This window comes from Homo sapiens, chromosome 7, assembly GCF_000001405.40.
Source record: "Homo sapiens chromosome 7, GRCh38.p14 Primary Assembly".
Taxonomy (NCBI): Eukaryota; Metazoa; Chordata; class Mammalia; order Primates; family Hominidae; genus Homo; species Homo sapiens.
Genome location: NC_000007.14, coordinates 41,136,331 through 41,150,196, shown reverse-complemented (window position 1 = coordinate 41,150,196; position 13,866 = coordinate 41,136,331). Strand labels below are relative to the sequence as shown.

The 13,866-nt window shown below is 40.5% G+C and overlaps 1 long non-coding RNA gene across 1 annotated transcript in view; it reads left to right on the top strand.

The window, feature by feature from the left end:
- The first annotated feature begins 401 nt into the window (after nt 1–401).
- The window catches only part of LOC105375241 (uncharacterized), a 40,928-nt gene continuing 27,463 nt past the window's right edge, over nt 402–13,866 (top strand). The window contains exon 1 of the long non-coding RNA XR_927190.1: nt 402–854. This is a non-coding gene — a long non-coding RNA (uncharacterized LOC105375241). The remainder of the gene's footprint in view (nt 855–13,866) is intronic.

The following is a 13,866-nucleotide window of genomic DNA, read 5'->3' as shown; positions in this document are numbered from 1 at the left end:
TCTATGGTGGTGGAAAAGAATCAAAGTCTATTCTTTGTCCTTTGACCCTAGCTGTGTCACCCTGAAACATCCCATTACCCTCCCTGGCAGGGTAAAAGCCAGGATTCTCAGCTGCAACTGAATCTCAGGAGGATGGTGGAGTAATCTAGGACCCAAGAAAAAGCTGCAGTAGTAACCACAGAAGGAGGCCAAGTAGAAGAATCAGCTGACACGACAGGGCAGAAAAGACCAACATCCATTTTGCATGATTCCTGGTCTCCATTTCTAAAGTATCACTTGCAGGCCAATGGGTTCCACATGGAGAGAAGGCCACGCCCACAAGAGCGAGGGTGGAGGGTGGAGGGTGGAGACCGGAGCCCTACCCAGCAGCCCCCACGGGAATGGCAGAGGAGCAGGGCCTAACGAGACAGGAGGATCTAGGCGATTGCGCAGGTGGGGCCCGGGCCTCCGCCTCAGGTGGCACCAGGGGGCCTGGAGCAGCCGCGGCTTCGCCCTGACTGTGAGGAGAGGCCTCACACGCAGGCCAAGTGTATTGGCTTTGTGAAGAGGACTTCCCAGGGCCCAGACCGAGTTGGGGACTGTGGTGCGAACCATGCTGCTGCCGGGTCTCTGAGTCCCTGGTGCAGGTGATTGCGGGGTGGAACGTTGAAGCAGGTACTGATCCTGCTCTGGTCCGTGGGGCTGTGGAAAAATCATTTTCAGTATTTCTGGTCTCTTCTGGAAGACCTTCGCTAACAGCAAATTCTCATCTTGGACGATGTCACGCGGCTGTCGTGGGACTGTGTCCCCAAAGCAGCAGTGAGGAAAAAACGGGCCCAGTAGTGGCGAGACCTCGGCCCTGGCCCTACCACTAGGTGTGTATATATTAACCCTCTTCGAGAACCCTTCAGTATTGTTGTATCTTGAAAAGGGCTTGATACTGCTTGATCATAATTCATAATCTACATTAATGAGAATGAGATGTATCAATAAAAAGGTGGCAAAGAAATGAAAACAATGGAAAAGGAAAGGTTGTGCTTGGAGCTTAAGGAGGCTGATAAGCAAAAATAAACAGGGGAACGGGAGTGCCAGTCCAAGAAACGAATTGCACAAAGGAAAGTACTTCTCCCAATTTCCTCTGAAACTCTTCACTTATATACCAAAGGAAATACTAGTCTTTCTGCAGGAAATGTTCCCGGGATATTTGTCTCTTCTTACAGCCATCTATATATATATAAATTTAGCCTTTAGTATGTATTAAAGATAGAGAGTTAGGGACCAGTAGAGTGGGAATTTCTTACACCCATTCTGCCTTCTCTGTGGTTTATTTGTTTTGTTTTGTTTGCTTATGTGTAGCCAAGAGGAGCATAAATGTGTGTGCGTGTATCTGAATGATTCATCTGCCAGAGTTGCTAGAACTACATCTTTTAATAGACCAATTATTGTGGTTAGGATTTGGCTTTAGTCAGGTGATGAGAAATTAGATAAATATTCCAGCCAAGCCTATGTTTTGAAATCCTGCCCCTGGGATTAGAGAGAAAGCCCTGTTCATATTGATACAAACCTTCAAAATGCATAGAGTTTTGTAATATACCTGCCTCCACCTGTTTATTCACTGTTCATGGTTCTTCCTCTTTCAAATGGGCTCTGAATAAGTGCTTCCTTTTGCTAGCTTGCTTGACTTCACCAAACAACTTGTGAGCACAGAGGAAAACATTATAGCGAATTGGAAACTCATGACTGTTCAATAATATGTAATACTGCATATGGTTCAGTTAAGACCCACTTGGGACAGAATTTCTAGTTTTGCTCTGTTCTTCATTTTGTGTTTTCTCAGTGTCATTCTTTATGTTATTTATGCCTCTTAACCCTCAAAGGTCTTAGCTGTCTAAAAAATGAGTAATAGGTAGGGCAAGTAGAAATTCTCAGAAAATGTCTTGTTTTTCATAGATGAAAATCATGACTATCTTTGGACATCTTCAGTAATTTAAAAATTACACCCCACTGGTTGAGAAAAAAATTATTTAAATTATGGCCCCAAGCATGTTCAGACATCACTGGAACATGAGGCAAGTTTTAGAATTGCAAAATAGCTCTTAAATTTTTTTTATTTTTACAAAGATTTTTTTTTCAATTAAATGCTCCCTGTCCTGCACCCCATTCCACATCATTTTTAGAATGTTCTCTTGTAGTGACAGTTAGCAGTGCAGTTACATATGGCCAAGGGGCTCACAAAATATTCCACTGGAGTTTTAGGAGCTTAATTTGTGGCATAAATCTCTGTTCTCAGGCTTCTGCTCTCAGACCCCACAAGGCTGTCAAACCATGCCCGGAAGGCAGTCGGACTTAGTTATGTTTTGGCTTTTGTAGCACTTCACGTGACTCTGAGACAATTGTTTTCCACTGGATTTCAGATGAAGCTGTTAGTTCTTCAGGAGTCCCCCATCTGGGTTTCCATTAATCTTGGTAATAGGCTCAAATCCTTTCACACTCATGCTTTGTCTGAATGTGTAACAGAGTGATGGTGAATGGAACAAATTACTAACTTACTGTTTTCTGGTATCCTTACTCACATTACAAAGTCTTCCATAAAAGATAGTACCTTGTGGGTGGGATTTGTAAACAGGCCAAAGCAGGAATAGCTCAAAGAGATTAAATATAAACATTCAGTTTTGTATTAAAGTACATTTTTCTAGAAAGACATTTGTGTTTGTGTGTTTACTGAGGTAAACTTACATGTGGAGAAATCCACTCCTTTAAGTGTACAGTTCTTTTTTAAAAAATGCACATCTTACATAAACCAAAATCTATCATTTTTATTTATAGCATAAGTACAAGTTTTTAGCAACATGAGCAGTCATATAGCTGCCACCAAGATAAGTCTATCACTTCAACAAGTTTTTTATGTCCCTGTGTAGCCAATTCCCTTTTCTCACCCAAAACCCCACCAAGCACTGATCTGATTTCTGTCCCCTAGTTTTGACTTTTCTAGAAAGTCATGTAAGTGATTTATACAGTATTTAGCCTTTTGTGTCTGGCTTGTTTCATTTAACATGATGCTTTTGAGATTCCCCAATGTTGGTACATGTGTGAGTAGTTTTTTCCCTTTTTACTTTCGGGTATCATCCCATTGTATGGATGTGCCACAGTTGTTTATTCACTCATCAGCAGATAGTTTTTTGGTTATTTCTAGTTTGGGGTTATAAAGAAAGCTGCTATAAACATTCATAATGGGTCTTTGCATGGACAAATATTTTCATTTACCTTATGTTAAATGCCTAGGAGTAGAGTTGGTGGATTATATACTTATGTGTTTAATATCATAATAAACTGCCAAGCTTTTCCAGTGTGGCTGAGCCATTGTTGCATTCCCGCCAGCAAGGTATGAGCATTCCAGTTATTCCAAATCTTCACCAGCACTTGGTATTAACAGGTTTTCTGTTTTTGTTTTTGTTTTGTTTTCTTTACCATTCTATCTGTGTAGTGGTATCTGATTGTGGTTTCAATTAGAATTTGCCTAACAACCAATGATGCCTTATATATGTGTATGCCTGTGTGCATATGTACGTATGTTTATTTTAGGGCCGGCGTTACAATGCACATACTGTCTTATACAATGAGGAAATGTGTCATAACCCCACCTTGGGGGATTAAGTTAGGCTTAGTGGGAAAAGTGAGAGCTTTGGAATCAGGTAGATAAGGGTTTGAATTCTGAGTATTCTTTCCTGATTTTTGAGGTAGCAATAATAATACCATCTTCATACAGTTGATAGAAGGATTACATAAGGTAATGCATCTAAAGCAGCTAGCAGAATGCTGCATTCCCTTTTTACTCCACGGCAATACTGGCCTTAATATATGTGAATCTTCTGGAAAAATATCCCTCTTTACAGAGGTTTGATGTCTGAAATTTCAGGAGTCAAAACCTTCATCTCTTGAATGCACTAGGTGAAAGACGAAGTCTTTGGGGTGGGGAATGCTGTAAAGGGAAACTTAGTGACCCTCCAAAGAGTCAGTTGTTTCTTCCTCTAGGGTGTTTTGTGTGATTCAGCTCATATCTTCACCATTGTACTGCTCTTTAATTCACTGGGGAAATAGCTGCCCTTGTTAGTAGACCATGTGCTTCACAGGGATTGGGACTATGTGTTATTTGCCTCTGTATCCCTCCTGGGTAAATACTGCATCTGGCTGGGATCACCTGGTACCTTAGCATTTGCTGTTCTGCTGCCTGAGGACTGGTGGGAGAAAACAATGGTTTCTCATGGAACTGAGAGCAGCCAGTGTTTGGATGTTTAAATTTGTGTTTTGTTACAGAGTTAAGGGTTAGTGTCAGGTTTACATTTCTCTAGCTGGTGTTTATGTACTGAGCTTGGCAAGCTTAGCTGTAGAACTCCATGAGGCTGTGAGAGAATACGTATTTCTTCTCCTTCTTACCCAAGCCAAGAGCGCATATAGTTCTGCTATTCCAGAACTCAAGTAACCCAGGTACTCCATGGAAACCTATCTTTTGAGATGCAGAATGAAACTGGCTCAAACCCTAAACCGTGTGCAGACAGAGCTTTGATTTTCCCAATTCAATTTGATTTATGGGTTATTATTGATATACCATGTAGACCTTTGTATGTCAAATCCAGACTGTTTTCCTTATTGCCACAAAAACAAACAAAATAAATAGTCACAAACCTGAAATTTACCACAGTAATATCACAGCAACACAAACCACTTAAAAGTAAACATTAGACATACCCGTGCTCATAAAAATCCCTATTTCTTCAAATTCAGTCCAGCATTCTATGTTGCCCAGATTTCTTTCTTTTGCCTCTCCAGAGTAAACTAAACAGCAACTCTTTCTCTTATAAAAACCAGAAGATTATTTCCATTTTATTATGAATGACATTTCATTTCTCTCTTGGTTCTTAACTCTCCTGTGTGTGGATCTCCATTTCTATGGTTCTGGTTCTAGACTTCATCACCTCTTTTCAGACTTTACTATAGCCTCATGTTTACATCTGTTGAACACCACAAGATGTCTTTCTAAAGTATGCATACAGTCAGACTCCTTGAGGGCAAGAGAATGCCTCATGTCCCTTGCTTATAAATTACAAGTTTCTTGCAGTTAATACCTAACACCCTCACAATCTAGAGACAAATCACCTTTTTTCCAATGAACTTTTAAACTTAAATATAAGAAAATGATTCAAAACTCTAAAGTATGTCCCTAAGCTACCTCATTTTGTGAGTTTAAGACCAGCATTTCCAAATGCCTTAGAGCTGTTCCTCATGGATGTCTTACAAACTCTTCAAAATCAAAATGTCCCAAATAAAATTTGTTATTTTTGTTATTTTATCCTCCTAAAACAATCCTCTAAGGATTAGTAAATGATAGCCATGTTGATAAGAAGAGATTGATATAACTTAACAGTGAAGACTTAAACAGAGTGAATTTGCTCTCTGATGGCTCAGGAATGAATGGCTGTGGGAATTGAAAAGAATTCTGAGATTAACTAGAATATTTTCCTGTTGAATTTTTCATATTTTGGGGTGGCAAGAGTTATCTGGTTAAGCAGATTTTAAATTTGTATAATTGGTTGATTGATCAATTGAAACTGACATATAATTTGCCAGTTAATGCTCCATCTAAGATAGAAGCATCACTTGAGTAACCTTTCTAAACTAAAAAAAAATGACAGGCAAGTTGTTATGCATTGCTTTGGGGAAAGGTATAATACCACAGATTTTATAGCTAGAGAAATAATGTCCTTCTTAATACCCCTTTTATACAACACTGGTTGCTGGGAAAAGGTTTGCATAGCAACAAAGGGACCTTAAGGAGCAAATGAGTTGAGACCACCACTCCTATTTTGAGTTTCCACATTATTCAGTATTTTATGATGGATTTAGAGGAATCCATATGCAATTCATTGGTAAGAAAGGAAATGAGTGCTTTCTGATGTGCTTCATCCTCTCTCAACCTAAAAGAATGACAAAAGAGGCTTTTGTGATGAAAGGGAAGGAGTATGGACTGAAGACTGGACCCAGAGCCAGAACCTACCTTGTCTGTCATGTGGAGAGTTGGCCTGAGTATAGCATGCATTTGACCCTGACACCCCCGGTGACCCAGCTGGGCTGGCATAGTGGGTGTTTGGCAACAGTAGCTTAGTCCCAGGTCCCACGTGAATGCAGATTGATGAGGTAACATACATTAGTAATCAAGGGCAGAGTCTGCAGCCAGATTGCTGGCTTCAAAACCCATAAGAAGCAAGTTATTTCTCGGTGCTTCAGTTGACCTCCCTAGTACATGGGGGTACTACTATTGCATATTCCCTAGGATTGTTATGAGAATAAAATGAATTAATACTTGTAAAGGGCTTAATCTGTGGTGTACATAGTAACTGCTGTATGACTGTGTTAAATAAAAGGAAGTCTCAGGAAGCCAGTGGCATAGAAGCCTTGATCAAGTATGTCACCAAGGTGGGCAGACTGCCCTCTCTCTAGGACCCAGAGTTGTTTTGCACAGATTAAAATATCATACATTTTAGTTACCTAATAAATAATACTGTTCTCCTAAAATACAGTTTCATTCTATTTCCTTGTGTTTGCGTGGATATTTTAAAAATTAGAATCCACAGTAGCTCTGAACTATTACCTAGCAATACAAACATTTTTTTCCCGGCAATGGCTTTTAAACCAATTACACAAATTTACATGCCGATGTTTTGGTAGTGTTACATAGTCTGTGTCTTTGGGCTTGTGTGTACAAGTACTCAGATGTGTGTAAGTCTAGCAAGTTGAAATCCCTGTTTATAATGAACACCAAACTGGAAAATGGACTGTTCTCAGGGTCTTATCCCATTAGAAATGACATATAATATTCATTCCTCTGTCTTGTTTTGTGGCCTGAAACTGGGCATCATCCCATCTTGTTAACCTCAGAGATACTATCAGACATTTGGTCATCTTCTTTCACTAAGACTAAACATTGCTTTTCAATTTCTAAAAATGTGTTGGTGACCCCTTCCAGTAACCATGATGAAATGACAACATCAGGGAAATAAACAGCATTAGCAAATTCAAACATAGTGTTTTCCTTTAATTGCTCCAGGCATCTGAAAGACTAAAAGAACTATTATATTCCTAGACAGGCTTGGCCTCTGTAGGAGAACAAGTCTTGTAAACTCATGAGATTTCTGTGTTTGGTAATCATTCTCAGCAGATCATTGTTATAAAACAAAACAGGGTATCTTTTACACCTGAAACATATTTTTGCAAAATAGGAATGCTTTATCTAAGCTATGGCAAAAACCTCACTATTTTATTACCTCACTTATCCAAGGATCACTTATTTCACAGCTCAGATCTCTGGAATATGAACACAGATCTGAAATTAACCCTGAAGTAGCTAATTACAACCCCAAAGTACACGTACTTTTTTCATGTCTCAACTTTAGCACCTCTCTACTCCTACTTTAAATCCAATCCCAGGCTGGGCACAGTGGCTCATGCCTGTAATTGCTACATTTTAGGAGGCTGAGGTGTGAGGATCACTAGAGCCTAGGAGTTAGAGACAAGCCTCGGTCACATAGCAAGACCTCATCTCTACAAAAAAGAAAAAAGAAAAAAAAATCAGTTTCACTAGTTGGAGAACCTGGTTTCTCAACCCATGCAGATTAGAATTCATGTATTTCAGGAGGATAGGGCCAGAAGACATAAGTGTTGTCAGCTCATCCTGATTGGGCTTGACCATGCAGGAAAAAGAAATAATAGATACAGCATCTCAAAAAAAAGCAAGGGGTCATTGAGTTTAAGGGTAGGTAACCATTATAACTCAATAACACCAAAGGATATTCTACAGACTACTGAGCAAATATGTCTTCTGTGTCATTGAAAATATCACAATTACCCTGATTTGATAATTATACATTATATGCATGTAGCAAAATATCATATATATTCATAAATATGTACAACTATTATGTATCAATAAAAAAGGTTTAATTATGGCTAGAATAATTTTAACACATTTAGGAAGTTTCCACTAAAAATATTGGCAGGAGCACTGGTTTAAAGTGGCAAACCCCCTGTAAGTGAAAGATTTGCTTACATTCAACAGTTCATTCTCTGTAACTATCTTGTGCCTATGGTTCTAACCTGGCCACCATGAAACATATTCATCCAAGTCTTTCCTAGTATTTTCTACCACATTTTAAAGTCAGAAAGTGCAGGGCTAAGAGCTATATCATATAAAATATTTAACAGGATAAGCTTAGTTCTAGTCTATGAGTTTGTGGATTTATTTTAGTAAGACTCTTCCATTTATCTAGAATTTCACCTATATTCAGTGTCCCAAAAGAGAATATGGAAGATGACTCTCCTCCTCTTCTACTGCCTTCTTCATTTTGCAACTAACACATAGTCTAGAGGCTCTGTGCAGTGCTTTATTCTTTCTCTAAGTCCACCCTTGCTTGATAGAACAGAAAAAAATTGAAAACACACAGCATCAGTGCAGAGACAGCTCAAAGTATGGGCATCAAGGAAGGCTGTCCTTCCTAGAATATACTAGAAGGAAAGATGTGAAAGAAGTGGTGACAATGTGGGACCACTTGCCAATTGAAATCAGAATTCAGAAATGATGCCTCAGTCATATACATGGGATCTAGGATGCCCAATTTTAATGTCTCAGGAAAACTCCAGATATTCAATTGCTGGGCCTGTCATAAACTGATACGACTATTGATTATTTCCTCTAGTAATGTACAGTGTAGCAAATAGCACTCCAACAAGTTCAAGGGCAAGACCATGCACGTTAGTGATGCATTCAGATAGGCCATTGGTTTTGTAATTGATTTAGCTTCTCACAAGTGTCCTTACTACATCTTGGTAGAATTTTCTTTCCTAGGGTCAGTTATGGCCTTTAGAATACAGATGAACATCCATGGACAGAGTAATGTCACTTTACTTTATAAAACTTAAAATTGTCTTTCCTTGAAGATTTGAAAATACCTTTACTAAGCACTTTTGATTTCTTAATGATTTTATTTATAGTTACTAATATCTTCCCACATCCAAATTACTCCTGTACGAGAATCATCATACTAACCTTTTACCCTTATTTGTACAAACATGATAATCACATGTCCTTTCTTCATAGTGATTTTTAATGATCTTAGAGAACACCCAAGATTATTTGAATTGTGGGGCCTGTGACATGTAGTCTCATCATATCCACTTGCATTCTGAAAATGATTTTTATTTCAGTTCTCATTACTTTATGTTTCTTGTTGATGAGACTTTTCATTGTTTTGGACCAAGCTTAAGGATTTTTGTAGGTATTTATAACTGATTTGTTGGTGATGGTCTGAATTGAATTGCAGAGAATCAGAATAAAACCTTTGTCTTAGAATTTTTATAAATTTGTATTTAATTACAATTTTAATGTCTTTAGCCTTTCACAGCACAAACTGCCGACAGAAGAAGCATGTTTTCCATCATGGGGTCATCAAGTAGGTAGTGAAGGTTCATTAACGCAAGCCTTGGGTAAAACTGACATTTGGCTTTGTTGTTCACCATTTTTTTTGCTTTCTCTGAGACAGGGTCCAGCTGGTATCCCTTCTGGCCTTGAGCACCCCTGTGTGTTCTCCTCCTTCCTATCGACCCATACTCGCTGCCTTAGGAAATGTCTGATTTCAGTTTTCATCTCTTTGTATGAATTTAGTGCTAGGTGTTACTCATATTGTGGAGGCAAAATTGATTGACTGGTCTCCTACTTAAAGTATTTCAGGCATCACTGAAGGTGGGAGAGGGGGAAGAGGGCCTTCCCAGTGACCCAGGGGTGAGGCCAGCCTTGATGACAGGAGCTCAAGTAGTCCAAGGTGAGGGGAAAGAAAATCTGAACCAAACTCACCAAATATGAATGAGTTTGGTAGCATTAAATTTTTTCATAGAATTTACTGTACTAAAATTGGCAGGCTGAAAGTCAGATTTATATTTATCTCTTTCCTTTTACAAACCATCCAGCACTTCTGTGTTTTCAAAGTGAACTTGATCATCTTTTATACCTGCCCATCATTAGGCTGGACAATTACATTAAGGGCGTGGGTCAAGGAGTGATTTTGCATCCCTGAATTGAATGTGGCTGCATGTGTACAAGCAACAAAGAGATAAGTGTGGGCAGGGGGAAATTAATGACTGGAGGATAAAAGACAGTCCGCTCTTCACTGGGAAAATGTTTATCAAATAACCTGCTTTTTTATTGATATAACCAACTGCTGTGAACAATTAGATTGTGTCTCAGAACATATATTACATGAAAAGATTTTTTGATACATTTATAAAAACATGTGCATGATCCCATTATCTCATTGATCTGAACACTTCACAAACTGAACCCAGCTTCCGTTTTCAGCCTCGTCGCTAGATATGACTTAACCATACACATGTATTTGAGCTCCATCCTTCTCAAATGAGACAGAATGGCATGAACTCTGAGGTAGTGGTTTGTAAAGTCACCAGGGCATACACAAAGCCCCTGGATGAACTTGGTACATCATCCTGGGGTTTCAAATATTCCTCAAGAAAAGGTAAATAATTCACATAGTGAGTAAATTAAAAACATTGTTTATAAACAAATACATGCATAGTTTGGAATAGAATGCCAGAAACCAATTTTTTTAAAAAAGCAAAAAACTTGAAATTCTGCTTTGGTAAGGTAATTTCCATCCTCACCCCAAATGTTACATAAAACTTTTATACTCTACTCCTATGGGTATTTGGAGCCAGACACCCAAGAAGCACTTTACTAACTACATCAGATAATTCACAGGTTCCAGAACATTCCAGAAACTTGCTTATCTCTGTATCTTTGCTCGTAAGTTTCTTCCAACCGGAACCCTTGGCCCATCATATTTTCCTGGAAGATCCTTACTTAAACATTGTGTCTGGATCAAAAGTCTCCCGCTTTAAAAAAAAAAAAAAGAAAAAAAAATGTTCCTTGAACACATCTCTCCTAACTCCCAGAATAAATCCTCCCTTAGCTATGTCCCCAGCCCCTTATCATTTTTTATCAACAACCCTCACAATATTCCTCCATATTATGATTACTTATTTAACTGTCTTTCCTGTAGACTGAGAGAATTTTAAGATAAGGGTCAATTATTATTTTGTTCTTTGTATCTTTTATACATTCTATGCCTAAAGCGTGTATCAGGTGTCTCTTGAATGAGGAATGGATTTCATTAATCAAATAACAATGGCATACCCATTGGTCCTCACAGGTGGATCCAGTCAAGTAGGTAGGCTGGTGCCTTCTGTGAGACTATGGTTAGTGTATTACAGATGGCAAATATTTTGAAATCAGATAGATCTGGGTTTGAGTCCCAGCTCTGCTACTTCATATTTGTGTAAATTTGATAAGTTATTTAACTAAGTCTTAGTTTTCTCATGTTCAATATGAGGATATAATAACTGCTTCATGGTGTTGTAAGGATTCTGAAATGATCCCTGCAAAATACGTGGCACCTAGTAAGCAGTCAGTATTGTTTTCTTCTCCATATCTATTGACCCTTCCCTACTTGACATAATTTGAAGGGTAAAAAAATGCCTAGCTGTGTAATACTGCTTCTCAATGAATTAGGGTCCTAGGATCTGGGGTCAGGAGAAAAAGTTGGCTGTTTAACTGGATGACTGGGCAGCTGGGGCCAAGGATAAAGTAAATGAAACATCCTGTCCACAATGGGAGGCAAAAAAGTGACAAATCTGAAGCTAAAGATCTGCAATCAAGCATCCTAACTAAAGATTCTAAACCAGACACAGTGGGCTGGCTAGAGGAACAGGTCTGCAGATTCCCCTGGAAGCATCGGTAGGGCTGGGAAACAGACTTCCCTGGGAGCAGAGTTCACCAACTTCAGGAGAAAGGAGGAGTCTGTTCATGCTTTTGAGCTATTTAGAGACTTACCTTAGAATACAACCCCAAGCTTTGAATCTCCACATGTTGTATTTTCTTTCTGGGTGATTTCTAGAAATGACCACTTTTTGCCTGATTAGTAAAATCTTGCTTAAGAGCAACTTGACATTTGATCCGATTGTTTTCTCAAACTTAAAGGCATAATGACAACATCTACTCTCAGTCAAGCAGAAAGCAGGAGCTTAATGGCATAAGGAGAACAGGTGAATTTTTAGAGAAAAGTTAGTTGGGGGGTAACTGGAAATGAGGCATTGCCTGAATTCTGATGGGATATTATCCTGTGATGATGGAGTGGAAAAAGGTAAGCCCTGAACTGAAATGAGTACCTGGAGGAATTAAAAGGAGAGCACCTGAAGACAGATATTGGAAAAATAACATTTTCCCAAGTATCTTTTCAGTTTATACAACCCATTGTGAGATTAGGGGGCTCTGCTTGGACCCCAATTCACCATTCCTTGTGTTGAAAAGAGAGGAATCATTCATCCACACCCCCAGTGGGCATGGATTTAAGAAAGAGTTCAAAGGGGGTTTTTGAAGAATTCCTACGTATCCCTGCCCTTTTTCTCTACAGTTTCACACATGAGTTCCAACTGCAGTCCATTTGGTGTAATTCTATATCTGCACCAGTCCCCTCTTTGCTTTCTTTTGCATTCTCTTTTCTCCCTTCATCTCCCTCCTGCTTCACAACATTGTTGGTTGTGTCTATATATCCACAGATGACACAGCAAGATGAAGGTCTGTTTCCTTCCAAGTATCAGGGCACAAAATGGTAGAGAAATAACTCCCCTTTCCTAACTCCACCTACCATCCTAAATTAATCTTTCACTCATCTCCATTAACACTGGTGGTTTTAATAGAAAGTTTACTAACATTTGATACTTATTTATTTAGAGACAGGGTCTTACTCTGTCACCCAGGCTGGAGTGCAGTGGAGTAATCACAGCTTACTGCAACCTCAACCTCCTGGCTCAGGTGATCCTCCCACCTCAGTTTCCCGAGTAGCTGGGATTACAGGCAGGCACCACCACGCCCAGCTAATTTTTTCAAACATTTTTTTTTTAAAGAGATGGGGTTTTGCCATGGTGCCCAGGCTGGTATCAAACTCCTTGGCTCAAGCGATCTGCCAGCCTTGGCCTCCCAAAGTGCTGGTGATGGCAGTGGCAGCCTGTCTGGAGCAGCCACTGCAGGGACGCCAGCTGCAGTGGGGTTGGTGTGACCAGGGCTGCACACTCTGTGGAACCAACAGGAGCCCCACCCCCTTCCGAGTTGACAGGACGCCCGGTGGTCCCAGGCACAGCACAGCAGCCCAGCCGTGGCTGCGGATCCAGGCATCCCTGTGTTCTCAGGGCCGGGAAACCCCCTCCCCGCACAGGCTTGGAAGTGCTTATTCCCACTGCCTGGCCTCTTCTGCTCCTGGCACCCGCTCCAATTGGAGCAAGGTTGAAGCTGAGCTTGCTCAGGCACTGTCGCAACCTGGCCAGGTGTGTGTGCGCTCCGGGCAGCACTGACACACCAGCACCCCCGCCGCCTCGGCCCCCCTCTGAAGCTTTGGGCACCAGTGAGTTCAGGAAGGCAGGCTGCCGGGCAGCTGAGGACGGCTCACTGAGGGCCTTCAGGCACCCCTCTGCCCAAGCAGCCAGGGCGTGGAGGACAACATGATGATGGAAGACAGGCTCCTGGGTGGAAAGGGGCAGGTCGCTGGTGAAGCCTCACCTTCAAGCCAGGGACAGCTGAAGCCTGGGAGCCAGGCTGTAAGTTCCGGGTGGTGGAGTCCACAGCCAGGAGTGAGAACTTAACGGTGCTTTTTCTGGGCCTGCCCATCGTCGCCCATAGACCGATCAGCATGCACTTCCTCCATCTGAGTCCATGAAAACCCCGGACTCAGCCAGATTCACACAGAAGTTGGGACTGCCAGTTGTGGGAAGGAG